The sequence below is a fragment of the Homo sapiens genome, chromosome 2 (genome assembly GCF_000001405.40).
Source record: "Homo sapiens chromosome 2, GRCh38.p14 Primary Assembly".
Classification (NCBI taxonomy): Eukaryota; Metazoa; Chordata; class Mammalia; order Primates; family Hominidae; genus Homo; species Homo sapiens.
In genome coordinates, this window is record NC_000002.12 from 72,163,252 (window position 1) to 72,190,281 (window position 27,030).

Sequence of the window (27,030 nt, forward strand, 5' to 3'; positions counted from 1 at the left end):
GTAGGAAGAGCAGAAAACTCCCTTAACTTGATAAAACTATAGCAAGTCTCACAATTAATAACTAACTTAGAAGCACTTCCACTGAAGCAAGGAGAGACAAGTTCTTACCATTACCACCATTATAAAACACTGTCTGGTTGTCTTAGCCAATTAAATCAGAAAAAAATCAGAAATGCAAGGAAAAATCTAAAGCACAAATATATAAATATTAGTGATAGATCTTGAACCACTTTCTCAACTTCTTTCATGACTATTGCTCTTTTGGAGTGTTCTGTGTTTTCCTGGTTCAATTCAGGTAATACTTATTTTTCTAGAAGCATAATCCATCTTCCTTTAGGTTTACAGATTTATTTCCACAAAATTATATAAAGTATCCTCAACATTATTTATATGGATATTAGGACTATCTACAATAGAATTTTCCAGGGAATCAACTGCAAACCTATTAGATCTGATAAAAACATGCAATAACTTCTTTGGATACATGATGAACATAATCAATAGCTTCCTTATGTGTTTATAACAATAAACTTGGAAATATAATTTCAAATATATAACAAATAATGTGCATATTCATGTGAATTCATTTGAGTAATGTGAATTCATGAGTCATGTAAGACTTATGGGAAGAAAACATAATCCTTTGTGAAATACATAAAAAAGGACCTAAATAGAGACTTACCATGTTGGGATGTCAGTTTCCCCCAAATTTAATAAATTCAATGTAATCCTAATCAAAATCCACAAGAGGTTTTCAAAATGATACTTCACTAATTCTGAAGCTCATCTGTGAAACTAAACACACAAGGAGAGACTAGACATTTTTGAAAAAGATCAATAGTAGAGACTTTCTCTATTAAATATCAGAACATATTTTAAGGTTACATAAATTATAATGATCTCAAATTGGCACAGAAATAGACCAGTAGAATATAGAGTCTAGAAACAGACCCATGTATTGCAAAGCAGTGAGGAATGGGTTGACTGATAATAATAAGCACTTAGGATCTTCAGATAGCCATTTGAAAAAAAAGGTTATATTTGCATTTTATATAACCCCAAATAAAATCTAGATAGATTTAATATTTAAATATAAAATGAAACTAAAATATTTTTATAATCTGGTGGTAGTGGTGGGTGAGAAAGCTTTCTTATGTAAGATATAAAACTCAAGAGCTTAAAGGAAAAGACTGATGATTAAACTATATTAAATTTCAAATATCTGTCTGATGAAAGATGCCATAAACAAACATTACAAATAGGTGAAAGTGGGAAGTATGGGTTAATAATTATGAAACTGTATGCAAGGGTTGAATAACTAAGTAAATGGCTAGTATATGGCAGGAGACAGGATCTCACTCTTGGAGAGAGATAAGCAATAAGGAAAGACTAGAATGATCCCTGGGGTACTGGATTACATTTGGAGACATCAGTATGAATTCAAGTTTTATATATATATAGAGAGAGAGAGAGACAGAGAGAGAGAGAGAGAAAGAGAGAGAGAGTATGCCTCATAACACAAACACACACAGAGATGTACAGATACAGAAACAACTAGAAATATTGTATATACATGCATTATCTTACATAATACAGTATCTAGCTGTCTGCTGAGAGCATAAAAGCAATGACACCCCAGGAGCAATGAGCATACCCAGCACCCAGATCTTGATTTTAAAATACCCCTCTTCAATAAAAGGAACCAGTGCTCCATGAAGAACTGGTTAATGCTAGGGCTAGGACAGGGAAAGTACAAGATAATCTTGCAGCATCTTGAGTATCATAGAGCAAGGAAATCATCAAAAAACAAAAGGATAAGGGTATGTCAAAGGCACACAAGAGCCAGTCTGAAAGAGTTCCCAGTGACCAAACCTGGAATAATTTAAGTAACAAAATAGGTAAGTAACATGGAATTGGATTATAACCCAAAGGATAGAATAAATACGTAAGGCAAAGGATAGCTACATAGATCAATGGGAGAGAACTGAGATTCCAGATATAAAGCCATACATCTACAATTAATTGATTCTTAGCATGGATGCCAAGACCATTCAGTGGGAAAGAACAGTCTTTTCAACAATAGTGTTTGGAAAACTAATATAATTTGAATTGTTCATATACAAAAATCAGTTCAAAGTGGATCAAAGACCTAACTGTAAGAGCTAAAACCATAAAACTCTTAGAAGGAAACAAAGGCATAAATCTTCTTGACTTTGGATTAAGCAGTTCTTTCTTAGATTCTTAGATATTATACCAAAAGCACAAGCAACAACAAGAAAAAAATGGATAAATTTGGACCTCATCAAAATTTAAAACCTTTTGCATCAAGGATACTGTCAAAAAGTGAAAAGACCCATAGAATAGGTTAAAATATTTGCAAATCATATATCTGATAAGGATCTAAAATCCAGACTATCTGAAGAACTCTTACAAGTCAACAATTAAAAAACAAATTGCCCAATTTAAAAAGAATTTGAATACGATATAAAAATGGTCATCATCATGACCATTTTTATATCACATATATTGTATATATTGACCATTTGTATATCAAATGGTCATGGAAAAATTCTCAACATCATTAGTCATTAGGGAAACTCAAGTCAAAACTACAGTGAGGTGCCTCTTCACACCCACTAGGATGACTATTACTTAAAAACATAAACAAAAAAATGGAAAATAGGAAGTGTTAGCAAGAATGTGGAGAAATTGGAACCCTCATATATTGCTGATGGGAATAGAAAATGAAGCAACTGCCTTAGGAAACATTTTGGCAGTTTCTCAACAAGTTAAACATAGTTACCGTATGACACAGCAATTTCACTCCCAGGTATATACCCAAGAGAATTGAAAACACATGTTCAAACAAAAACTTGTATACCGATGTTCATAGTGGCATTATCAGTAATGGCCAAAAAGTGGAAACAACCCACGGGCTCATCAATGGATGAATGGATAAACAAAACATATACAATGAAATATTATTCAGCCATAACAGATATGAAGTACTGAGTATGCTACAACATAGATGAACCTTGAAAACATTATGCTAAGTGACAGAAGCCAGGCACAAAAGGTTGGATATTATATGATTCCACTTATATGAGATGTCCAGAATAGGCAAATTCATAGAGAGAGAAAATAGATTAGGGAGAGGGGAAGAGGGGAATTGGGAGTGATTACTAATAGGTATAGAATTTCCTTTTGGGAGGATGGACATCTTCTGAAGTTAGACGACGTTGGTTGCATAACATTGTGAATATACTGTAAACCACTGAACTGTATGCTTTGAAATGGTGAGTTTTATGTTGTGAGTTACGTCTCAATAAATACAAAAAGAAAGCCCAAAATAAGTGCCAAAAATCCATATAAGTTCATACTAATATAAATAAGTGACTTAAATTATTGGTCAAATAAACAAACAGTATTGAAGAGACAATTCTTTCTTACAGAAGAATTCCAAATAATTTATTGAGAGAGTCTTTGTGGGAGGTAAAGCTTAACCCTCCTGCCCTTCCCTGCCCCTTCAGTATAGGCTGCAGTTAGTGATTTGCTTCTAATAAATAGAATCTGGAAAGGGAAAAGTAGTAATTTTATAGTGGAGAAACCTGGCAAATGCTGCCTTAACTAGTGATGAAGGTTAACATCACCAGTGATGTCATGTGAATGTCATGTATACACTGATATATGATAAGGAAGTCACTTTGCCTTTGGTGTATTCTTTCAAAAAATCCATAGGCCCAATCTAATCAAGAGAAAAACTTCAACACAAAGTGAGGGACATTCTACAAAATACCTATCACTCCTAAAAACTGTTAAGGTCATGGGAAAGAAAGAAAGACTGAGAAACTGTCACAGACCAGAAGACACTAAGGAGATATGACAGCTAAATGCAATATAGTATCCTACACTGAATCCTGGAACACAAAAAAAACATTACTGGAAAAGCTGGTGAAATCTGAATGAAGTCCTAGTTAATACTATGTGCCAATGTGGTATAAAAAGTTTTCACAAGTGTACATTGTAATGTAAGACGTTAAAATAGGGCTTACTGAGTGAGTAATATCTGGAAACTCTCTACCACTTTGCAACTTATCTCTAAACCTAAAATTAGTCCAAAATAAAAAGTTTATTTAAAAGGAAGTGGAAGACTAGGAGAAAATATTTGCTCATATGTACTGAACAAGTATGTAATTATCATCAAGAGGATCAATGGGTCAAGGATCTTGTGACAGACCCCATCTCTTGACAACATTCATTTCCCCCTCATCTCCCTGCAGAAAGCATTCAGACTGGCTCAAATAGTGGTGAAGATACCTTGATATCATGCCCCTATTCTATCCATTTATCTTTCCATTCATGCATACAATCAGTTCATTCAACAAAATTTCTTAAGCATATTTTATGTGGCAGAAACTCTTCTAGATACTGCGGATAAAGCTATGAATAAAACATCCTGCTTACAGCTGCAGGAACTTACAGGGTATGAACCATGACTGGTATTAACCAGACATGATGATCTTACTCCTTCTGGTCATGACTGGTTTGGGGGTGCCCATGTGATCCAGTTCTGGCCAAAAAGATGTAAGAGGAAGTAATATGAAGAGATAATTTTAAATAATAATTTACATTCTGGAGGCTGAGGTGGGAGGATCACTTGAGCCCAGAGGTTTGAGGCTGCAGAGAGTTATGATTATGACACTGCACTTCAGCCTGGGTGACAGAGCAAGACTCCAGCTCTAAAAATAAATATAAATAAATAATTTTGAGAATACTTACATAATTTTAGGGTAAAAAGTAAATCTGTAAGCCTAAGTAAAGATGGAAATCATAGGCTTTTAAGAAAGGGATTCAGCCTGCGTGGCTCTTTATCTCTTTGCTTTTCTTCCTTCTTCCTGCCTGGAAAGTGAATGTGATGTCTGGAGGTGAAGCAGCTTTTCTGTGCCTATTAAAGGATAAACATACTAAGGATGACAGAACAGAAAGACAGAGAGTGTCTAGGTCTCTGCTGCTCCAGTCCTGTATTGTTTATGCTTAAACCTCCAGAATTCCTCAAACTTCAAAAAACAAAAACAAAACAAAAAAATTCCAAAAGCCCCCAAACCAGAAAAAGCCCTACCCATTTCTTCACTGCACTCATATGACATTTTGAATGAGTAGCTGAACACACTTCTAATTGATGAAGTTATCAACAGGCAATTTATTGATAATAACTAAAAATGGCTGAGATGTGGAAAGATGATTCAGCCCAACAGAAACTGGCAATTGAAAATTAATATGCCATTTTTCCTCACTCCAGTTTCCTCACGACAGTCTTATTGAGGGTGTGGGGAAGTGGACCTTCTCCCATGTTGTTGGTAAGGGTATAAACTGGTACAGCCTTTTTTTTTTTTTTTTTTTAAAGACAACTGACATTACTGATCTACAGAATGTTTGTATATATGCAAAAAGATATCAAAGATGTTTGCTTCAGTAGTTCTTGTAATGATTAGCAAGTGAAAGAAAGTTAAATAATGAGGAAATGGCTAAACAAATTAAGATACAGTCATACTGAGGAATACTATGCAGCCACTAAAAAGACCGAGAACGTTATGTGGAATACAAATCTATTTGTGAAAACATTTCAACATTTTGCTATATTCATTTAATTTTTAAAAAAGAAACTAGACTTTATAAAGTTAAAAAGCCTACTTTGTACCCCCATGTCCCTCATTTTTTTCTCCCTCTGCAGGGATAACTACTATACCAAATTTGGTGTTTATCATCTTCATGCACGTTTTAAAGTTTAAATTGTATTGTATTGTTATCTATAATTTAACTTACTTTTTTAAAAAAGTCAATAACTTTAAAAAATGTTTATTCATGTTGACCCATGTAGGTATAGTTCATTTTAACTGCTGTGTAGTATTCTATTAGATTAATAGAATATCTATTTTCCCACTGATGAACATTTAGGTTATTTCTAATTATTCATCATTATAAACAGTGCTGTAATAAACATTCTTGTACATGTCTCCTTGTGCACATGTGGATAGATTTCTCTAGGATATGCACATGTTTAATTCTACTAGATACAGGTCCACAATATGTTGTTCAAAACCTCTGGGGCCAGTTATGTTTCAGGATAAGACTTATTGAATTTTAGGAAGGCAATATGGCATATGTGCCATATATAACACCCTCAGTAGGGTTTGGGAAATAGACATAATCAAATATGTTACTTTTTCTGTGTTGAAAAGTATAAATATCCACATTAAGTGGGATAAATACAGATGATAAATAACTTCCCATTAGGTCAGATTTTGCACCAAATCAGTAAAGAAAGAATGAGCTTTTTCAATTTCTGAATTGCCAGTAAGGGATTTGGATCTGTAACACCAAGCTTCTCTGTAAAGTAGGTGTATTCATTTATCTTCCCACCTTTATGAGATCTTGTTTCTACATATCCTCATCAATAATTGGTAATATCAGACTTTAAGATTTTTGCCAATCTGATAGATGAGTACATACTACTTTCGTAATTAAAACAAAAAAGAACACATAGAACACGAATGAAGAGATCTCATTTTTAACAGTACTGAAAACATAAAACATTCATGATTGTACTAAGTAAGACATGTGAAGAATCCAAATGCAGAAAATGTTAAACTGTTTGAGGAATGTGAATATGACGAGTAAATGGACAGGGCCTTTGTGTTACAAATATGTCCTTAACCTATAAATTATTTTATAAATTCAATGCAACTCCAATGAAATCACAATAGAACACTGGAAATGAAAAAAATTATAAAATTAACCTGGAAGAATAAATATCTGGGAACATTCTGAAAGAGGAAAGTATGGTGTATTTCCTCTAATAGGAATGGGCTATTAGATATTAAAACAGACTACAAAGATATGGTAATTAAAACAATTTGGTAATGGCTCAGAAACAGAATGATCATGACACCATAAAGAAAATCCAGAAATAGACCAAAGATAAATATGAATTAAATATATGATAAAGATGACATTTTAAAATTAATCAATGATGTTGCAGACAACTAGTTAGCCATTTGGAAAAAAGAAAAGGCTGGATCCCTATCATGCTCCTCACATCAAAGGAAATTTCAAATTGATAAATGATTAATATATTAAAAATGAAATATCAGAAGAATACATGGTACAATATTTTTATAATTTTGAAGTGGGGAAATCTAAGTATCACATGAAATCTAAACATCATAAAGGAAAAGCCTTGTAATTTGACATTTCAAGAATGAAAAACCGGCCAGGTGTGATGGGTCACGCTTGTAATCCCCAGCACATTGGGAGGCTGAGGTGGGAGGATCGCTTGAGTCTAGGAGTTTGAGACCAGCCTGGGCAACAAAGTGAGACCCCTATCTCTACAAAAAATAAAAAAAATTAGGTGGGCATGGTGGTACATGCCTGTAGCATCAGCTACTCAGAAGGCTGAGGTGGGAGGATTTGCTTGAGCCAGGGAGGTCAAGGCTGCAGTAAGCCTTGATCATGCCACCACACTCTAGTCTGGGTGACAGAGTGAGACCTTGTCTCAAAAAAAAAAAAAAAAAAAAAAAGAAGAAGAAGAAAACAAAAACATTCTATACAGCAAAAAACACCACATAGTGAATATTGTGGCTGTCTCCTCCACATTCTTTCCACCGTCTTCCCCATTGTGTGGCTGCTATGCAGTTTGTTTGGGGGTAGGTATCCATACCTCCTTACTCTAAATTCCAAGGGTGAGACTTGATTGTTTTAACCTATGGAGGTAATCTTCTTGCCCTTGCCACAGTGATTGGTTCAAGTAACCCTGATAAAAGCAGTAAATTCATGGCATGCTCCTGATAAAAAAGAATGACATATAATCCAATTTAGGGTTCTCAATATTGGAGGCTTATTGGATTAAAAATTCCTTGTTCTTTTAAGAGAGCCACTGGAAGTTTCTGCACAATGTAGTGCGGGGATGTGAAATCTAGAAAAATGGCAGCCATTTAGGCACCATGAGGGAAGTAAGATTTAGGATGGTCTTCTTACCATAAAAGGCAGAGTAGAGGGGAGGAAAGGAAACAGACTTCACATTTTTTTAGTCATTGAATCATACTAACCCTGAATCACCTCTGGATTTTCAGCCAGTAAATATTTTCTGAGTTGGGTTTTTGTTACCTGCAAAATAAAGGGTTCTAACTAATATGAACCAATGAACAAACTCAAAAGACAAACTGGGAAAATATGTGCAATGCAAATGACAAATAGCTAAAATCCCTAAAACAAAGAACTACAAATCAATATGAAAAGAAAATAACCTAATTTTTTAAAAGGCAGACTATCTCAATAGTTCATACAAAAGGAAATACAAATAACAACCAAACAATATCAATAGATGCTTAAGTTCACTATAAATTAAAGAAAAGTAAATAAGAACAAAGGAAAATGATTTTTCACTTGAAAGGCTGACAAAAATGGAAAGAAAACATTAATATTACTTAGGGCTGAGAATTCATAGGGAGACAGATTCTCTCATAACCTATTGGAGAAAGTGTAAATTGGTGATTTTCAAAAGAGTAATTATATACTTTCTATTAACATTTAAATACTCATAGGTTTTTGGGGTTTTTTGTTTTGTTTTGTTTTGTTTTTTGAGATGGAGTCTCATTTTATCACTTAGGCTGGAGTGCAGTGGCCCGATCTCAGCTCACTGCAACCTCCGCCTGCAAGGTTCAAGTGATTCTCCTGCCTCAGCCTCCCAAGTAGCTGGGATTACATGTGCCCGCCATCAGGCTGGGCTAATTTTTGTATTTTTAGTAGAGATGGGGTTTCACCATGTTGGCCAGGCTGGTCTTGAACCTCTGACCTCAGGTGATCCACCTGCCTCGGCCTCCCAAAGTGCTGGGATTACAGGTGCGAGCCACTGCACCTGGCCAATATTCATAGCTTTTAACCAACCAATTCCACTCCTGAAATTGTATGCTATGGTAATACCTAAGCAAGTAGGCAAAGATGTATACAAATATCTTGCAGTATTGTTTATAAGAGTGGAATACTGGAAGCATTCTAAATATTCATCAATTCAGAACTGGTTAAATAAACTCATGGTACATTCATGCAATGAAAGATCTTTATGGGCTTCATAAAGGATGAAGAAATTCTGTATGTTGCCAATAAAATATATTTAAGATAAATTAAGTAAAAAGTAAAACTGTAATATAATACACTATGATTATAATTTTTTGTGACGGTATATACAGATTAAAATAATTAGATAGAATATCATCACACTAACTGTTACTAGTGTGATCACTGTTATGATCAGATGTGGGAAATGGGATTAGGGTTCAGTGGGGAAAGCCCTAATTCTGTCGGATACCCACATACTCATACACAATACTCATCTACACACACATTTATCACTACCACCAGGACCACATCCTGCCCATCAGGAATTAAACTGCTACTTTGGTTTCTCACCTGACTCTTAACCTGTTGTCAACCTGCTCCCTACTCTGTGGCATGACAAGGGTAGGATGGTACATGTTTGTTGAAAAATTTAAAACCACAATAAAGCAGACTAAAAGTTGGCTTGCTTTTTTATTATCTACTCTATGTTGGCAATTCTAAACAATGCCAATGGCAAAATAGCCCTCCCAGCAAGGGTACTGCTCTCACAACCCCCACGTTTGCACATGACTGCCCTTCTGAAAATCTCATTCATTTGACCATGAGTGCCCATGTGCCATTTGCTGGGCTAGGTGCTGCCCATCTTTGCCTCCGTCTCCAGTGTCCAGACCACCAATGAATTCCCACTTAGCTCCTGAGACGGTTACATGAAAATGCCTTCCCTAAAATCTTGGGAAAAAGCCTAATGGTTGCTTAAAACTGGCTATCTGAAAAGCCTTTGGCTTGTCAGTCATAGGCCCCTTACAAGTACCCACGGAAAAGATGTTTCCCCAGCAGGCTTCTCTGGAAAAGGGGATCACTGGAGAGGGCAGGGCCTTACTCCATCAGCTTTAAGAATAAGCACCCCATGGAATAAAAAGAAAGCCATCTACCCAGCATAACCTGAGCCTTGTAACAGAGAGGGGAGTGTGTGGGAAGAACAAGAGGCAGATCCAATTAATTACCCTTAGAAGCAAAGGTAAAAGTTGAAGATTACGAGACCCATTTACAGGAGGAAATAGACCCATCATTGAGCCTAGAGAATGGGAGGATTGTTTAGGGCCAGAAAAGCGTCTCAATGTTCAGATTCCATTCCTTTTCTGGAGCTTTGGAAAGAGGAAGGTCATAGCTTGGGCTTGGAAGTTACACTTAGCAGTGGGTTCAGACTGGTAGGAGGGGGGTGCTGCTGTCTTGGGTCCGATTCTGGGCCCCCAGCCGGCCCCCACCCTGAGGAGATAGAAGCTTCTATCTTCTCTAGGGGCTGGCCAAGGAGGGGGTACCCCCTGCAAGAGGCCCATCCATTACCATCACAACAGCTGATGTCACAGACCCTACAAAGCAGCTGGGGCCCCAAATGCAGAGTAACCCTAACCCCACCAGCGATTGAAACAGATAGAGGGGTAGCTCTCCCACACAATGCCTGGCCCTCACTCCTCTCCTCCTCCTCCTTGCACTTCCTCAAGAGCCTTTGTCTTCTGGTCCCTAGGGCCTGTAGCCTCTCTCATTCCCGGCAAACTCTGTCCATTAAATTCAAAATGAGGCCTCTGGGGAAAGGGTTTGGCACTTTCTTTCCCTGCCTCCTCTTATCTCCCACCAGCTATTCCCCATCCGCATCTGCCTGGCAGGCAGATAAGAAGCCCAGCTGTGAGAAAAGGGGCAAGGTGGTGACTGCTTCACATCCTTGCCTGGGCTGTTTTGATTTGCTTTGTTTTTCTGCCTCAGAGCACCCCACAGGGTTGCTGGTCCCTCTCTGGACAAGGCCTTGGGCCGGAAGTCATAACAGTCAGTGCTGAGGCTGCGGGAAATGTTCTGGGGTGAGTCAGGTTGTTTGACTGTGACGGCCCAAGTCTCTGTACTGAACTCTGTCATCTCCCCAACGAGTTGGCAGCCTCCGTATTTTCAGGAGTGCAGAGTCCTCCCGTCCCCACTCAGGACCCCACCATGCTGAGAGAAAGCCAGGAGTAGCGGTTTCACCGATCTTTAGGTGTGACATGGGGTTCAGGGGGAGGCTCCTGGAGAAGGTGGGTGGCAGACCAGCAGGGCTTGAAAAATCTGTCAGAGCTCTATGAGGCAGGGAGAAGAGTCACTGCTTAGAGCTTCTGGCTTTCCCCCATGGGGAGAGCTACATGTCCGAAGGGATTTGGTTATTATTCAGTACTTTAGTCATGAATCTTTCATAGACATTGATGAAAGCCATGAACCTTCTTTCCAGAAAAAAATGGATGGCATGCACACATGCATGCAAACACACACACACACACACACATCTGCAAGGGTTCTTGGACACCTGGTTAAGAACTCCCAATAGAAGAAGGTGTAAGTTTTGGCACCAAAGTAAGAGTAGAGAAGATTCCATGTAGTGTTAAGGATAGGCTGTCCTCAGAGCCAGGCGGCTGGCTGATTTGAAAGGCGTGTCCCTCTGTTTCATATACAGGTGCTTGGCGGGGATGGCTATCACCAATCCTGAAGTGGACTTGGGGAGAGGATGTCAGGAGGCAGAGAAGCCCTGGACACTTTTGTCCAGCGCTCAGCCATGAGGCATGTTGTGGAATTGGAAGGTAGGGAGGAAAAGGCCTTAAATATTGCATGTGCTATTGCTCAGTTTGATACTGGCTAAGCATTTTGACCTTCCACAGCTCATTTACACTTCACAACAAACCTGTAAATTGGAGACTACCAGTCTGCTTTCATGGATGAGGATGATGATATTTAGGGAGCTCGTTTAGTAATTGTCAAGGTCAGGGGCTAGTAAGTGGCATTGCAGAGATCAAAGCCCCGGTCTCGGGCATGAAAGCCCAGTTGCAGTAGTCAGATTTCTTACTGGAGAAAATTGTTTCTAGTCTATTCCCATTGCTTGTGTGCTAGCCTGGAGGGCAAGCAGGCTGGGTGTTGCTACACTGGCATTGCTGGTCTTACTTACCATGGTTCCAGATGTGCCTAGGAGGTTCTTCATTACATCCCAGAACATACCAGGCTCATGCCAACATTGTACTCTAATATGGTCTGCACCAAAAATACTCATTCCTATGACTTAACAAAATTTGACTTGCATTCCTTCAAGGCCCAGCTAATTAACATTCTGCTTCTTCTGAGCTGTCTTTCCTAACCAGACCCTTTCCTTCACTAGGCCAGGATGACTGTACCCCTCCTGCACTGAGTCTAAAATAGGCTCATCTCTCCCTTTTCTCCAGCCTGGCTTTGTTCTGGATAATCCTACAACACTCCATCTTGACTGGGAGCCTTTCCTTGGCAGGGCTAGTGTTCAACATTGCGTTCTAAGTTGCCTAGCCCAGTGTTCCACATAACTCAAGCATTTCAAAAAGTTCTTCTTGATGATGATGCCAGTGTTAGCTGCATAAGCAGGAAAAAACGTAACCCAGGGGTTAGGGATGTTTCCAAGGCCACAGTACGGCTCCTTGCCTTGTGTGGAAGGTAGGCTTTCTCTTCCCCACTAGGCTCTTGCCTGCTCTAGTCCTCAGTCCAGCTGAGTGGGGATGCAATGTCAGCCATCCAGTTCACCAACCACAGCTGCACTGTGCAAAAAGGATGGAAGAACAAAATACCCATGAGACAACACCGTGGCTTTTGAAACAGGTATGTAGGCTTTCTTGTTTAATAGCAGTTAAAAGAGGAAAATGTACAAGAGGAATAAACATGCTCTTTTCACAGAGGAGCTTTCCCCTAACCATGCGGCCCATCTGTATCAGTAGCTTTACAAGTAAGTTTTAGAGAAAAAAGTTCCCTTTAGAGTTAAAAATGGACTTTCCTAATTTTCTCTATATATGTGCAACTATCTGTGTAAAATAAAAATGCCATTTCCAACACCTTTGTGAAAAGTAATTGTGAATGCAGGCAAAAAAAAAAAAAACAAAAAGGAAGAAGAAGAAGAAGAAGAAGAGGCAATTGCAGTCAAGAGAGGAGTCCTGGGAGAAGGGAGGCTAAGGTAGGGGAATTTCTGCAGCAGTTCCTAGAGAGTGTGCTCAGAGGCCTGATGAGGAAGGTCATGGCCAAAGCCAGTCTTGGGAGATAAAAGGCCGTGGGTCTGGGACTTGCTGAGTAAGCACTTGTCAAGTGTACAGTAAGGCTAGACTGACTTGGAGGACTGGTATGCAATGAGAACAGTGGGCAATGCACCCTGGAAGCTCTACATTCCCTTTGCCAACAGGATCTCACTTCCTGGTTCCCATTTTCAGGTCCTGTTCTTCCCTACCTGCAACAGCTTCATTTATAGCCTGCTCAAAGAGATTTTCCCTATGAATGTTAAAATGATGCAAGCAGCCTATATTACTACTGAAACCTAATAGAGTCCCAAACTGAACTGTCCCTTCAGGAATATAGACCTGGTTTCCTCAAGAACTTGGCCAAGGGTTCATCCTGACCAGAAGCCATACAGGCTTCTAGCCATCTGTGTGCTTGCCCTCTTATTGAGGCCCTCCACGGTACTTCTACATCTCTAGGTATTTGAGGCCATATCTGAGGAGTCTGATGGGTCTGGGCACACATGCTTTGCACAAGTCCTCTCAAGGGTTGGCCCAGCTACAGGTTATAGACAAAACTAAAAACATCCCACTTTTCTAGTTCAAAAACTTGACATTGCTGGTCCCTGTTTTTACCTTCCCTGGCCCACCAAGAGTATGTCTCTACATACAACTCAGTAGCTGCATGTTGTTTTTTGTTAGATAAGGTGAAGGCAGACTAAGAATGGAGAGAAGATATATCAAAGGGTCCATCTTTATGTCTTGAGCTTGAATAAGCTTTTCCTTTCATGGGACTTCTGTGCAGAATAACCCCTATTCCTCCACCTTGTTCACTTTTTCCTGTATAGCACAGTTCTTCCAAGGCAGAGGTTTGAGACCAGACCAGCAATGATGATCCTCTAAAAAGACAAACACTGTGCCATGCTTACACATCTCTCCATTTCCACTTCAAAGTCTCTCAGCACTTAAAGCTGAAGAGATCTTGCTGCAAACTGGGTACTAGCAAAGAGAAGTGTTTTGAACTCTTCTCAAGCAATAGAACTTCAGATTAATATAATCGTTTCTCACTTGTTTCAACAAAGATGAGAGCTTGGCGATGCCATTTTGGCTCCTGCCTTCTCTTGGCTTATCAAGTTCTGGGTGGCAGTGCTCATCCCTTACCCTCATTCTGAAACCCTGGCCAACCATCCAGCCCTCAGGATGAGCCTCAGCAGCATCTATGAGCTCACATGTAGCCTGGTCTCTCCAGCTTTGAGGAAATTTGTATGTCTGTGTGCACATCCTCTTCCCCATGACTATCAAGATATGATAGGATATGGTGAGGTAGGGGGGTTGGGGAGGGGCAAGGAAGTACTTCCCTCCCCAGAAGCAACTCAGTAGCTGACAAAGGTAGTGAAGAATTCTGTTTGATGAGTCTCTCCTCCCATCAATCCAAGCTGGAAATGCCTGTGTGGCTTATTTGTCATTGTTTGGTGATGCACAATTATACTCTTGCCACTAGCCATCTTTCTGCTACTAGCCAGTAGCATCTTTCTGAAGTGTCTTAAAGTACAGTTTCCCCCGACTGACCTCATAGCAAAGCCCTTGCGTTAAGTCTCAGGAGTCCATCTGGGTCAATGAGTGCAGCCTCCACGCTAAGCTGCTCCAGGCTTTAGAGTTTGGAGGACAGGATTATAGGCAATCTTTCTTAGACAAGGCCAAAGATGGCTTTGGGGATCTCAAAAGAGGGTGGGAACCTTGGGCTTGAGCAACAAAATAATATCTAGGATATTATTTAGTGAAGGACAGTTGGGCCAGAGGCAACAAGCCACAAGCCATGGTTGGCTCTGTCGACTTTATGGTAACAATGTCTCCATCCCTAGAGGCATCCAGTCCAGGCATGGCTGCCCCCACAGTGCAGAGCTGGTGACATTTCCTTAAAGATGATAACCAAAAAGCTGGTTTTAAAACATAAAGGAACAATCCCAACTAATCCTCAGGTTACACCTAAGGGTAAGGTAAAGGCCATTTTTAGGCTTCCGAAATCTGAACTATTTCAATGGCATTACTGGAGGAGGCTAAGTCTGAAACGCCCTGTGAAGGCCTATGGAAGTAACTGTTGATTTATGTCCTGAACCAAGTGCTCTGACTGTAAGTGAAGGAAATGAGATGAACAGGGAAGGGATTGGGTCTCTGATTCCATGAAAACTGGCTTTCAAGATCCAGAAAAACTCTTCGAGTTGAGACTCAACACTCCTAGAGCTGGGGCAATATGCAGTTAAACATGGGATCCAATTATTACTGCTGTCTACTTAGCTGTATCCTGCCCTAGAAAAAATTGCAATAAAAGCCTGGGGTTAGATCAGGCTAAAGAAACCGCCATTCTTGGGGGATTGGAATGAAGCTGTCATCTTGCCATATGCCATGCTTGTTCACAAGCCAGTGAAAGTCAGCAGACTGAGGAGATGACCCTCCAGAGCTGCCCTTAGTGTACTAAATAGTAATGTTTGCCATGCCCTTTCCTTGTATTGAGAAGAATCAGCCTCATCTATGTGGTGAATGGGCATCCAAGAGTGAACAGGACATATTTTAGTATCCTTTTGCTTACTCACTCTACCTCCCAGCGCCAGATACCCACTTTTTATGGTTCCTAAGCCCCAGACCTAAGCTTTAGAGCCATGGATGAAAGGTGGTTCATCACTGTGGAATTGATGATACCACCATCTCTAAGATAACACAGATAGTGTAGTAATAACTTCCCCTGAGTCCCAGCCTAGCAACATCTCATGTACTTGCTTATTCTTGTGCCTCTTTTACTATAGGGAAATGTTATGTGAATACTGCACAGGGGTTAATAAAAAAATACATATGCTCTCTTTGAAGAAGAATGCACAAATGCAGGGTCAGCTGGGGCTGGACCCCAGACTGACACAGAGGCTGCAGCAGGTCGCCTCTGTGGGTCCGGGGTCACCCTTCATGAGTGGTGGCTGCTGATGAGTCCTCGGAGCTGCTTGGCCACGGTGTCAATGAGTTTCTGCTTGTCTCGCTCATTTTTCCGAAACTGTGCAAACATGTTGTTCTTGCGGCTAGTATCCTTCATCCTAAACAGAGAAGGAAAGAAAGAGGGCAACATGTTTGAGGAAACAATGGTGGAAGGAGAACCTGCAGGAAGCAGGATGGCAATGCATCTTAACCACTACCCAGAGTAATGAGAGAGTCCAGAATATCTCCACTGTCAGGCCCACACTCACCTACTCATCAGGAAGCTGGCATTCTGGCACCTATAGCCCTCCCAACTTCAGTCACCTTTGGAAACTGGTCAAGACCCAGTTTTGGAGGGGTCAATCTCCCTACCCCTTATACCTGCTCCACCTAATTCATTCTCTTCTCTCAGCAGGTATGTACCTGCTGTAGGTGTCTGGGACAGGGAACAGCTCTGCTGGTCAATAAGCCCTTATAGAATGTCTAGGATCCACTCATTACCTCATGAACCTACTAAATCCTGATAGGACCTTTGAGATAATATTTGAAAGGTAAAGCAGGAAAAGTGTTCTTAACTAGCAATTCCAACAGAACATGAATAACTGAAGGCCACTGTATATTTCTAAACCTCACTCTAGCTGGCTACTCTATCCTATCCCCAACAAAACTAAGGGCTTGACTGACCTTTTTCCTTTCGTCTCAGGGTAAAGGCACATAGGTGGTGTGGTGGCTAAGAGAGTAGAGTGCTGAGGAAAGCATGGGCCAAATGGCTGGGCCATCCTCTCACTCCATAAACCAGAGCTTTTTACATGAGAAGCCTTTGAGTTCTCAATGGCTGTCTGTACCCCTGGACCTTTGACCTTTGGGTCATGCTAAAGCTTCATAGATGGCATATTCCTAGAACACAAACCATGGGTAATTCTGGCCAGTGGTTCTTTCAGACAGACAGCCCTAACTGGGAAACATGGACAAGAAAGTCAAGACTAGGCTGAGATGGTCACAGAACCCCCAAGTCTGACTAAGCAACTGTGACAGAATTCAGGAATCTGCTATTCCCTGCAGAGGGCCCACAACCTCTGACATCTATTGGTGGCCACTAACTCTTGTCCTAGCTGCTGCACACCAGACCCATATCCCACAGCTAGTTCCAGTGTTAGACAATTGAGAACATGCCAAGACAGATTTCTCTCTGGGATAGGGGCAGGCCAGTCTTCACCAGAGTTGGGCCAGCCCTCTGACTTCACTGCTCCCTGGGCTGTATGGAGACAGGCTAGAAGAGAGGAGGGAAGGAACATGGCACCGGGCTATAAATTGCCCCCAGGCTATTTCCCAGGGGACTTTGGGCCAATCCTGCACCATTTTCTCCCCCACTGTGGGTGGCCCTTTGCAGAGGAGCAGATTAGAGGCCAGTGAGTCAAAAAGCCAGAGATTCCCACAGGGGCATTTATGTTTGGTATATATGATATAAATTTACAATATATATATTCCATAAGGGCATTATATATGGCAAAAAGGTTCTAATGAGCACCACAGCTGTATGGCTCTGGCTAACAGTGATAGCCACAAACTAATTAAGAATTCTTTCGGCTGGGCGCGGTAGCTCACGCCTGTAATCCCAGCACTTTGGGAGGCCGAGGCGGGTGGATCATGAGGTCAGGAGATCAAGACCATCCTGACTAACACGGTGAAACCCCATCTCTACTAAAAATCCAGAAAGTAGGCCGGGTGTGGTGGCAGGTGCCTGTAGTCCCAGCTATTCGAGAGGCTGAGGCAGGAGAATGGTGTGAACCCAGGAGGCGGAGCTTGCAGTGAGCCAAGATCACACCACTGCACTCCAGTCTGGGTGGCAGAGCGAGACTCCGTCTCAAAAAAAAAAAAAAGAATTATCTCACTAATCTAAGCTCAAGAGCCTTCAGGCTGGAATTACTCATCAAGCAAACTCAGAACATTGAATATAAGGTACGACCACCCACATGTGGAGGCCTGTGCTTGGAAGGGAAGAAGAAGGGGAAGTGACTGCGCTAGTTGAAGAGAAAGCACGAGGGTCCTTAAGACTCTGATAATTACTGTATTTGTTCCCTAACACACTAGTTGCACAATTACATTTGTAGAACTGGCCTAGTTTTAGATAGTTCCAAAGAAAGATTCCCTTTCCTCCGCTGAGTATACAATATATCTAAACATTAACAACAACAGAAAACAAACAAAAAGAAATGAAGAAAACCACTTCCTATATTCATAGGACATTTAGTTTAATATCCTACATTATCATTAATTTCATGACTCCTGGAAGCAGCTGAGAGACAGGCAGCCCGCTGGCTTTTGGCTCCCACAGGGAAGCTCCTGTAATTATCTAGGAGAAAGAGGGTAGTCTTTGGCCACAAAGGCTAGAATTTCTTGGCCATTAAGACCTGGAGTTGGAACTAGGCACTGTAAAGATAAACTCAAGTACCCTGAGGGCTAGTGGTGGCCTGCTGGTTTCTACTCAGGAATGCTCCAAAAACAAAAGTCAGCCCTCCCACCTTCCATCCCATTCTGAAAGCCCAATATCCTGTTCTACTTTATTAACAGCTATGGCCACCTCTCAATGATGCAGGGGCCACTTCTTTTCCCTCAATGTCTTTAGCAGGTCTTTTGTCTTTCTGTTTCGCCCTGCTAAGAAGGGCCAGGTTGAAAAGGAGAGTCAAGATCTGATGGTAGAACTGGCTGTGGAAAAGCAGGAATAGGTCAGGTAAAGGGGTCAATTCCTATGAGGCTGGGAGATACGGATTGTAGTGATCTGGATGCCCTTTGCTCTGCTGTGTTTGGAAGGAAGCTTTTAAACTCTTCTGATTGCTAGGGCTAAGCACATAGTTTCTTTACTGGCCAACGCTCCAGAATGGTAGGGAGAGGCTAATTATTTTAGACTATTGTTGAGCCATAGGGAGTGGATAAGCCAGTATTTCCTAGATCCAGAGATTCCTGGGAACGGAGGAGTAAAGGACTGCTGAGAGATGTAAATAACTGAAGGGAATCCCAGAGCCCATTTGAAGGACACATATGACCATTAAATATGACCATTTAAGCACCACCTCAAAGGTCAAAATGTTCCCTTCTTTCAGCTTGGCACCAAGAACTGTGGGATTAAGCCTTGCCTCTAATAAAGGGTCTTCTATAAGAGATGCAGGTTCTAGATTTTAAAGCCACCAAGAGGTAGGGGAGGCTGCTGAGGAGCTCCCTTCGGTCAGGGCTTTATTTCAGGCCCCACACTAGCAAGAGTATTGAGTGTGCCAAGAAGCTGAATGGGAACAACCCTTTACCTGGCACAATGGGAGAAAATCCCTGCCGCCACTCCCAGCCCCAAAGGAATTAGTAAGCCAAGGGTCACTGTAAGGGCCAAGGATAGAGAAGGCAGCCAGCCAGTTGGCACCAGGCTGGTTTAGTAGATTAGTATGTCAGGGCGGGGACAACTCAGAGGCTAGGGATTTTAGTGTAGTCATTAGTGTCAATGAGGAAACCAGAAGGACTTGCCTCAAAGTGATGGAAAAGGCCCAAGTGAATAATATACTTACTCTCTAGATATCCTAGGGCGGAAGGTCAGTGGGAGAGAGAACCATGGGAAACAAAGTTAAAATGGAAACATCAATCTCTGACGTGGTCAGGAGAAAACTGCAGTCTGAGTTTTTAGTCTCTTGGCTCCAAATACATACACCTGCATCATGCTCTTGCCTACCCTTCATCTCTTCCCCTTTTCTCCCCCTTTCATATTACATAGTAAGAAGGATAGACTTTGACCTCTCCTTCTGCTTAAGGCTCCACTCTGACTTCCTGGACTCTGAGCCTTGTCTTCCTAGGATTTGAGACATGGTTGACTGGCCATATATGTAGACTTCCTACACTGCCTAGATGCAGGGCATTCTTCCAAGTAGCTGGGGCTTAACTAGTTTCTCAGATTTCAAGAGAAACCTGCCTTTTTATATGGGTCTTGGTCTCTGACCTGCCAGCTCTCTAATAGATTAGCAAAGCCAGAGCCAGGCTGTAATACATAGCATTTCCCAGCTTCTGGGTGACATATTTGTTAGCCCTGAGATTTCCTGGAGCTGCCTAACTTACTTTCAGTGGTAGCACCTCTGCTTCAGAGAGGCTACAGCTCTGTGGCAGGGAACCCTCTGCAGGCTAGTGACTGCTTAAGGCAAGAATTAGACACCTTCTCCAACACAGCTTTGTTGGGATAGTCAGCACAATAAAGCTCAGTCTGGCAGGGGGTGGGAGCTGGGAACAGATGAAGGTTTCAATAATTCTAAATAATTTCCAGGGATTCTCTACTAGGAACCAGAGAAACCATCTGTTCTGTGGAGTTGCACTATCCATCATCATACCCCAGGTGACTAGGGCAGCCTCATTCTGTTCACCAGGCTGGCCTGAGCCCCAAACCGAGCCATTTTTTTTTCTCTTGCCATATCTAGTAAGAGACGCTAGTAAGAGACCCATTAAACTAGAAGGTAATGTCAGAATCCAATTCTGATCCATACTTGGCCTGGCTTGTTGGGGGCTCAGGAATTAATAAGCCACAGGAGGAAGACTGGCCTGCCAAGTCCAGTGACTGAGATTGCTGACAGCACCCAGGGCCTATGGCAACTTCCAGAACAAGGCTATCTTTCAAGGTATTGGCAGTGGCAAAATTATCTTCTACGCCAACCCCCAATCCCTGTCTCCCCACCTCCCAACACAGACCATTGGACAAGGTACTCACTTCTCAAGCAGGGTCAGAGCAGTCACTGGGTTTACCCGGAGGTACTTGCAGTTGGGCTGACCATAGTCAGCAAGGTAGGTTGACCAATCCCACTGGATGAAAAGATCCAAAAGCTGTAAAATATCCAAACCCCACCCCAGGGATTAGTCAGACAGACAAGACAAACCAAGATTCCAGAAACTTCATCATCCTTCACTACCAGCTAATAAATTGGATATATAAAAATTAAAATATAATAAGAAAAAGAACAGCTGCAGACTATTCTTTCAACCAAGAAAATAAGTGAGTAAACATTAGATGGCAGACTTATCTCTGCCATAAGCAGTATGGAAACATTGCTAAGACTATATGCCAGCAGTCAGCTCTCAGAGGCAACCCTGTAAAGAAACTAACACGGGACTGAATCAAATATGATAATAATATCATAATAATTATTCACTTACTCATTTAATAAATACTTATCAAATGCCTTCAACATGCCAAGAACCATTCTCAGTATTCAACAAAGAACAAATAAAGGTGGATGTAGTCCAGTGCCACATATACAATTGTTTGAACTTCAAGGTTAAAAGGTCTGGGTTCAAGTATCAGTTCTGTGACTTGCTGTACTGACTTAGCCCAAGTGACTTAGGTAATACAGACATATACACATGCCTATATACAAATAGGACACACAGATAACACAGAAACACTGAAACAAGGCATAAATGGATCATGTAGCATTTATAAGAGGCAATATGTGTTACGTCTATGCAGACACAGGCTAAGAAGATGAAATCAGGGCCATAGTAGATTAGCCCATGATTGAGGACACAGAGTCTAGCTAGAATTGGGTTATGAGTGTTAAAGAGAAGTGCCAAGAGCTAGATGTGTGAAAAGACAATGAGAGCTTTCTGAGGGTGAGCTGAGTTCTGACACGGGAGATTTTGACTGAGAGAAACTAAACTTTTGTCAAAGGCTTTCCTTCCCAGTCAGTTTTAGCCTCAGACATCACACTAACAAATATTCAAAAATTGTAACTAAGTAAAACAAACAAATAAAAGCTTCTAGAAGGGGCACAGTCCCAGACTCATATCACTGCATAGAGGGAGAACCCTCACAGTACTTTTTGACTCAAGACATTCTCCATTTCTCCCTTTCCAGGAGATAGGTAAGTGCTGATGAGGACAAGTAGATGGCTGGTTGTGCAGAACAAAGGCAGAGGGCCAAGAGTGCAGTCATATCCAATGCCAGAGCCTGGGCTCTAGGCACACCTTCCTCCATGTCTGTCTTCACTGTGCAGCTGGGCAAACAGGCAGTATGGGCCTTGCCCTGTTTGGCCAAGTCTCCACTTCATCCAGTTTCTTAGAATAGCTGTTATGAACTTCCTGAAGCAGGATGGGAATTGGCTGAAGTCCCAAACCTAAAACTTAGAAAAGTCCCTATACCCTCAGCCAAGAAAGGGATTTTAGAGATGAGAGAAGGAGTGGGGGAGAGACAGGCACACTGGTTGGTCTGGGCCAGGATGGTCCCAAACGGCCCCTCAGGCCATTTTCAGGTCATGCCTATTTTCATTAGCAAGTTAAAAGGCTTCTACCACTTCCTTCTGTTGACCCAAGGCCTCAGAGAGTTATCCTTTAGAAGAGAATTTCCCTTGACTTTCTACTCTAGTATCAGTATTTCTTTCTTTTTTTTTTTTTTAATTATACTTTAAGTTCTAGGGTACATGTGCACAACGTGCAGGTTTGTTACATATGTATACATGTGCCATGTTGGTGTGCTGCACCCATTAACTCGTCATTTACATTATGTATATCTCCTAATGCTATCCCTCCCCCTCCCCCCAACCCCACGACAGGCCCCGGTGTGTGATGTTCCCCTTCCTGTGTCCATGTGTTCTCATTGTTCAATTCCCACCTATGAGTGAGAACATGAGGTGTTTGGTTTTTGTCCTTGCGATAGATAGTTTGCTGAGAATGATGGTTTCCAGCTTCATCCATGTCCTTACAAAGTACATGAACTCATCCTTTTTTATGGCTGCATAGTATTCCATGGTGTATATGTGCCACATTTTCTTAATCCAGTCTATCACTGTTGGACATTTGGGTTGGTTCCAAGTCTTTGCTATTGTGAATAGTGCCACAATAAACATGTGTGCATGTGTCTTTATAGCAGCATGATTTATAATCCTTTGGGTATATACCCAGTAATGGGATGGCTGGGTCAAATGGTATTTCTATTCCTAGATCCTTGAGGAATTGCCACACTGTAGCATCAGCATTTCTGTCCTGTAGTCTTCAAAGACCACTCAAGACAGCTCCACTTTACTTGCTTCCTGGGACCACGACAGGTACTGAGAGTACCCCTTGTTCTAAAGTTCTTTCAGTACTGTGCTTTACACATTTCACTATATTTTCCTGCAACTCCTAGGGAAAGAACTATGAAAAAGGATAGCGTTTTTTCAATTAAAATTTTTTTCACAAATAAAAAAAAAACCCTAGGAAGCCTTTTACTATTTGCCTATTGAGGAGCTGATAAGAAAAGTGAATGAAAATCAGAAAAGTCTAGTTGGAAAACCATTTCTTAAAGCTATTTTAGATATTACTTTTTCAGCATATATGGACATATACATGCATGTAATAAAACTACCTTCTTTTTAAATGAATTCCTAATTTCTGTGATGGAATTAATGTATTAGTATTTCAGATTTATTGCTAATACTACCATGTATTTCTGGTTAATGACACATGGGAAGTCACTAGTGGACAGTGGAGAGAAGTTCATGGCTTAGCTGTAAGTTATGGGATCTTTGGGGTGTCGCTTTTCTGGCCGGAAACCTGTGGCCAGTGGCACCTTTGCCTGAGTTTTGCTCTGGCCCACTGGGTTTGTTCCACCCACTTGGCCTGGGAGGCTGAGCTCATGCCTGCCAGGGACACTGGAGTCAGGTGTGGAGCAGCAAGGGGTGTGTGTGAGTAAGTGTGGAGTCCGGCCACTGAACAGTCAGACATGCTGGGTGCTGCCATGGGGTGGGCAGCTCCAGGTGCCGGCATGGGCACCAATTCTCTGTGAGAATGCAGCTGGACCAGGTGCACTGCATGCAGCTTTCCTGGATGGCACCAGGGAATGTGGCAGCACCCAGAAGCTTGGAGATGCCAGGAACCACAGGGCCCCAAAGAGGGAGTCACAGCCCTGGCTCAGGGAGCTCCCAGGTCTGGGCTCTACAAAGGGCTGCAGCTCTTCTCTCCTTCTCTTCACCCATAATGTGGCAAGCAGGGGGCATATTTCAGCCATGTTTGTGTTACCCCAGCTCTTTTAGCCTTACCATTCAGTGGGTCTCAAGTTCTTTTCCTGCGACCAGGAAGAATGAGGTACACAGACAAGCAGAGGATGAGAAAAATGAAGAGATTTATTGAGCAATAGAACAGCTCAGAGATGACCCACAGTGGGAAGCTCCTCTCAGTAGCCAGGGTGTCCCGGCAAGTATTCAGCTTCTAGCAGAAAGGGTTGCTCCTCTCTGCAGGCAGGTTGTCTCGATAAGTGTTCAGCTATCAGCAGAGAGAGTGGCTCCTCTCTGCAGCTGGTCGTCCTGTTGTCTCTCTGTCCTCTCCTCTGCTCTGGCTGAGCCCAGGGCTTTTATGGGCCTCAGAGGGGAGGAAGTGCATGCCAACTGGTCCACAGGCAGCCAAGTCCCTACTCTGGTCCGTGGGACTGGCAGCCTGGTCACAAGCCTTCAGGCCTTCTGTGGCCTGAAGGTCAGGCCTCACTGGGGACCTGCCCCATTCTGCCCAGGAACCTGTCTGCTTTCTGCTCCCATTCATGGCACCTGGGGTTGGCCCCAACTTTGCTCCGAGATTGGAGCAGCACTGACAACAGGGAGAAACCATGTAGTGGGAGCAGGCACTTCCAAGCCTACAAGGGCAGGGAGGGCCTTCCCAGGCCCCCAAGAGTGAAGGGATGCCTGGGTCTGCAGCCACAGTTTGGGTGGCTGCAGCTGTGCTGGGGGTGGAGGACCGGGTTCCTGCCTGCTCCATGGAGCAGGAGGCCCAGGTCTGCAGCTGTGGTTTGGGTGGCTGCAGTTGTGCCCAGGAGGGTAGGGCTCTTGCCTGCTCCCCAGCTCCCACCAGCTCCATGGAGTCTGCAGCCCCAGTCTTGCCTCCCTGCTGCAGCCAGCATGATGGCAGTGGTGGGCCATTTAGGGCAGCCACTATCATCATAAGGATTTCCATTTTTGTCTTCCTGCCAAAGTCAATGCCAATGGTGAGCCTAAGAGCTCTGGAATGACAAGCTATCTAATTTATTCCCCTACAGTCATGGAAGCTACATAACTCTATTAAGTTCAACCACCATGAGCCTATAGATCACACTCTGGGTCCATGTTGCTTCCCACAGTCTTTTAGGGTGGCCTGAAGCTAGGTCATATGGCCTTCTCTGAGACAGATGGACAGAGAGTGAACTCTGAGGGTACTTAACTAAGTTAGCTGCTTGGAGGCACACTTCTACTGGATTCCATAAAACAGTGTTAGAATGAACGGCCAAGAAAACCAGCAGGTCTATTTATCCGTATAGTACTTTGATTTCCAGACTGACTTTCAAGGTCAATCAGACCCTCCCAGCCTGATTCTCCACATACAACAACCTTGTTAGATTGCTATAAATTCTCCTGCAAGGACACTCAATCATCATTAGTGACCACTAATATTCCTTTTTTATTTTTAAATCTTTCATTTGGAAATATTTCAAATTTATCAGAAAGTTGAAGGAATAAGCATAGTATAAAGAGCAACATATTGCTTCCATCCAGATCCATCCACTGTCAATATTCTACCCCACATGCTCCAGCACTTGAATTCTCTTTCTCTTCACACACATACACCCATGCATGTACACATATGCTATTTCTTTTCTTGAGTTTCTTCAAAGTAAACTGAGACTTTATTCCCAAATACTTCAGTGTTCCTAAGGATTAGGAATATTTTCTTATATAATCACAGTATAATTTTCAACTTCAGTTAATTTAATGTTGATATGATCCATATTCAATTTTGTAAGTTGACCCAGTAATGTCCTTTATAGCCTCTTTTATTTTTGTTCCACTACATGATATAATTTTAGGATTGAGTATTATGTTTAGCTGTCATGTCTCTTTAGTTTCCTTTAATCTGGAATATTTATACAACCTTTCTTTTTCTTATATGATATTGATACTTTTGAAGAATATAGTTCCCCTGCCTCCATTTTTTCCCAGTTTGGTTTTGTCTAGTGGCTTCTTGTAAGATTCAAGACTGAATTCTTTAGCAGAACACTATGTAAGTGATGCTATGTCCTCCTCAGGGTATCACCTCTGGAGGCATACAAATGCTCATTTTTCCCTCATTGGTGATATTAATTTTGATCACCTGATTAAGATGTTGTCTGATTTCTTCCAACATCTGGTTATTATGTTTTCCTTTGGAACTGTGAAGATTTAAGACATTCAAATATCTGTTATCCAGTGAGGATTCTTGCCTAACCCAATCTTTACTATGACGGTTGAAAACTGCTGATATCTCAACACCATCCTTCCTTGCACATTTATGAGTTGTCACTCATTCTACTGTAAGCAAGTACTCTCTCTTCCCTGCTATTAATCTATCTATCCATTTGTTATTGGCACAAACTCGCCACCGTGCCCCTCCCCTCCCCTCCCCTTCCTTCCTTTCTTTCTTCCTTCCCCTTTCTTTTCTCCTTTCCTTTCCTTTCCTTCCTTCTTTCTCTTTCTCTTTCCTTCATTCTCTCTGTCTCTCTCTCTCTCTTTCTCCTTCTTCTTCTTTTTTTTTTTTTTTTTTTTGAGGCAGAGTCTCGCTCTGTCATCCAGGCTGTCACTGGGCTCACTGCAAGCTCTGCCTCCTGGGTTCACGCCATTCTCCTGCCTCAGCCTCCCGAGTAGCTGGGACTACATCTTTTCCTTCTTTCCCTCCCTCCCTCCCTTCCTTCCTTCTTCTCTCTTTTTTCCTAAGAGACCAGTTCTTGCTCTGTTGCCCAGGCTGGAGTGCAGTGGTGCAATCATAGCTCACTGCAGCCTAGAACTCCTGGGCTCAAGTAATCCTCCCACCTTCACCTCCCTGAGTAGCTAGGACTACAGGCACACACCACTATGACCAGGTTAACTTTTAAATTTTTATTTTTGTAGAGATGAGGTCTTGCTATGTTGCCCAGGCTGGTCTGGAACTCCTGGGCTCCAGTGATACT

The 27,030-nt window shown here is 41.9% G+C and overlaps 1 protein-coding gene across 10 annotated transcripts in view; it reads right to left on the minus strand.

The window, feature by feature from the left end:
• The window catches only part of EXOC6B (exocyst complex component 6B), a 650,050-nt gene continuing 635,752 nt past the window's right edge, over positions 12,733-27,030 (minus strand). For 6 of the 10 annotated variants that reach the window (NR_135773.2, NM_001321734.2, NM_001321730.2 and 3 more), the window contains 3 exons: positions 20,824-20,936; positions 19,643-19,654; positions 12,733-16,210 (listed from right to left, as the gene is read on the minus strand). Coding sequence is in view for 8 of the 10 variants with exons in the window: in NM_001321734.2 (NP_001308663.1) it covers positions 16,084-16,210; positions 19,643-19,654; positions 20,824-20,936 (252 nt within the window). In the remaining 2 variants the exon portion in view is untranslated. Of the gene's footprint in view, positions 16,211-19,601; positions 19,655-20,823; positions 20,937-27,030 lie in introns of all 10 variants that reach the window. The other 4 variants (NR_135774.2, NM_001321733.2, NM_015189.3 and 1 more) reach the window with 2 other exon arrangements.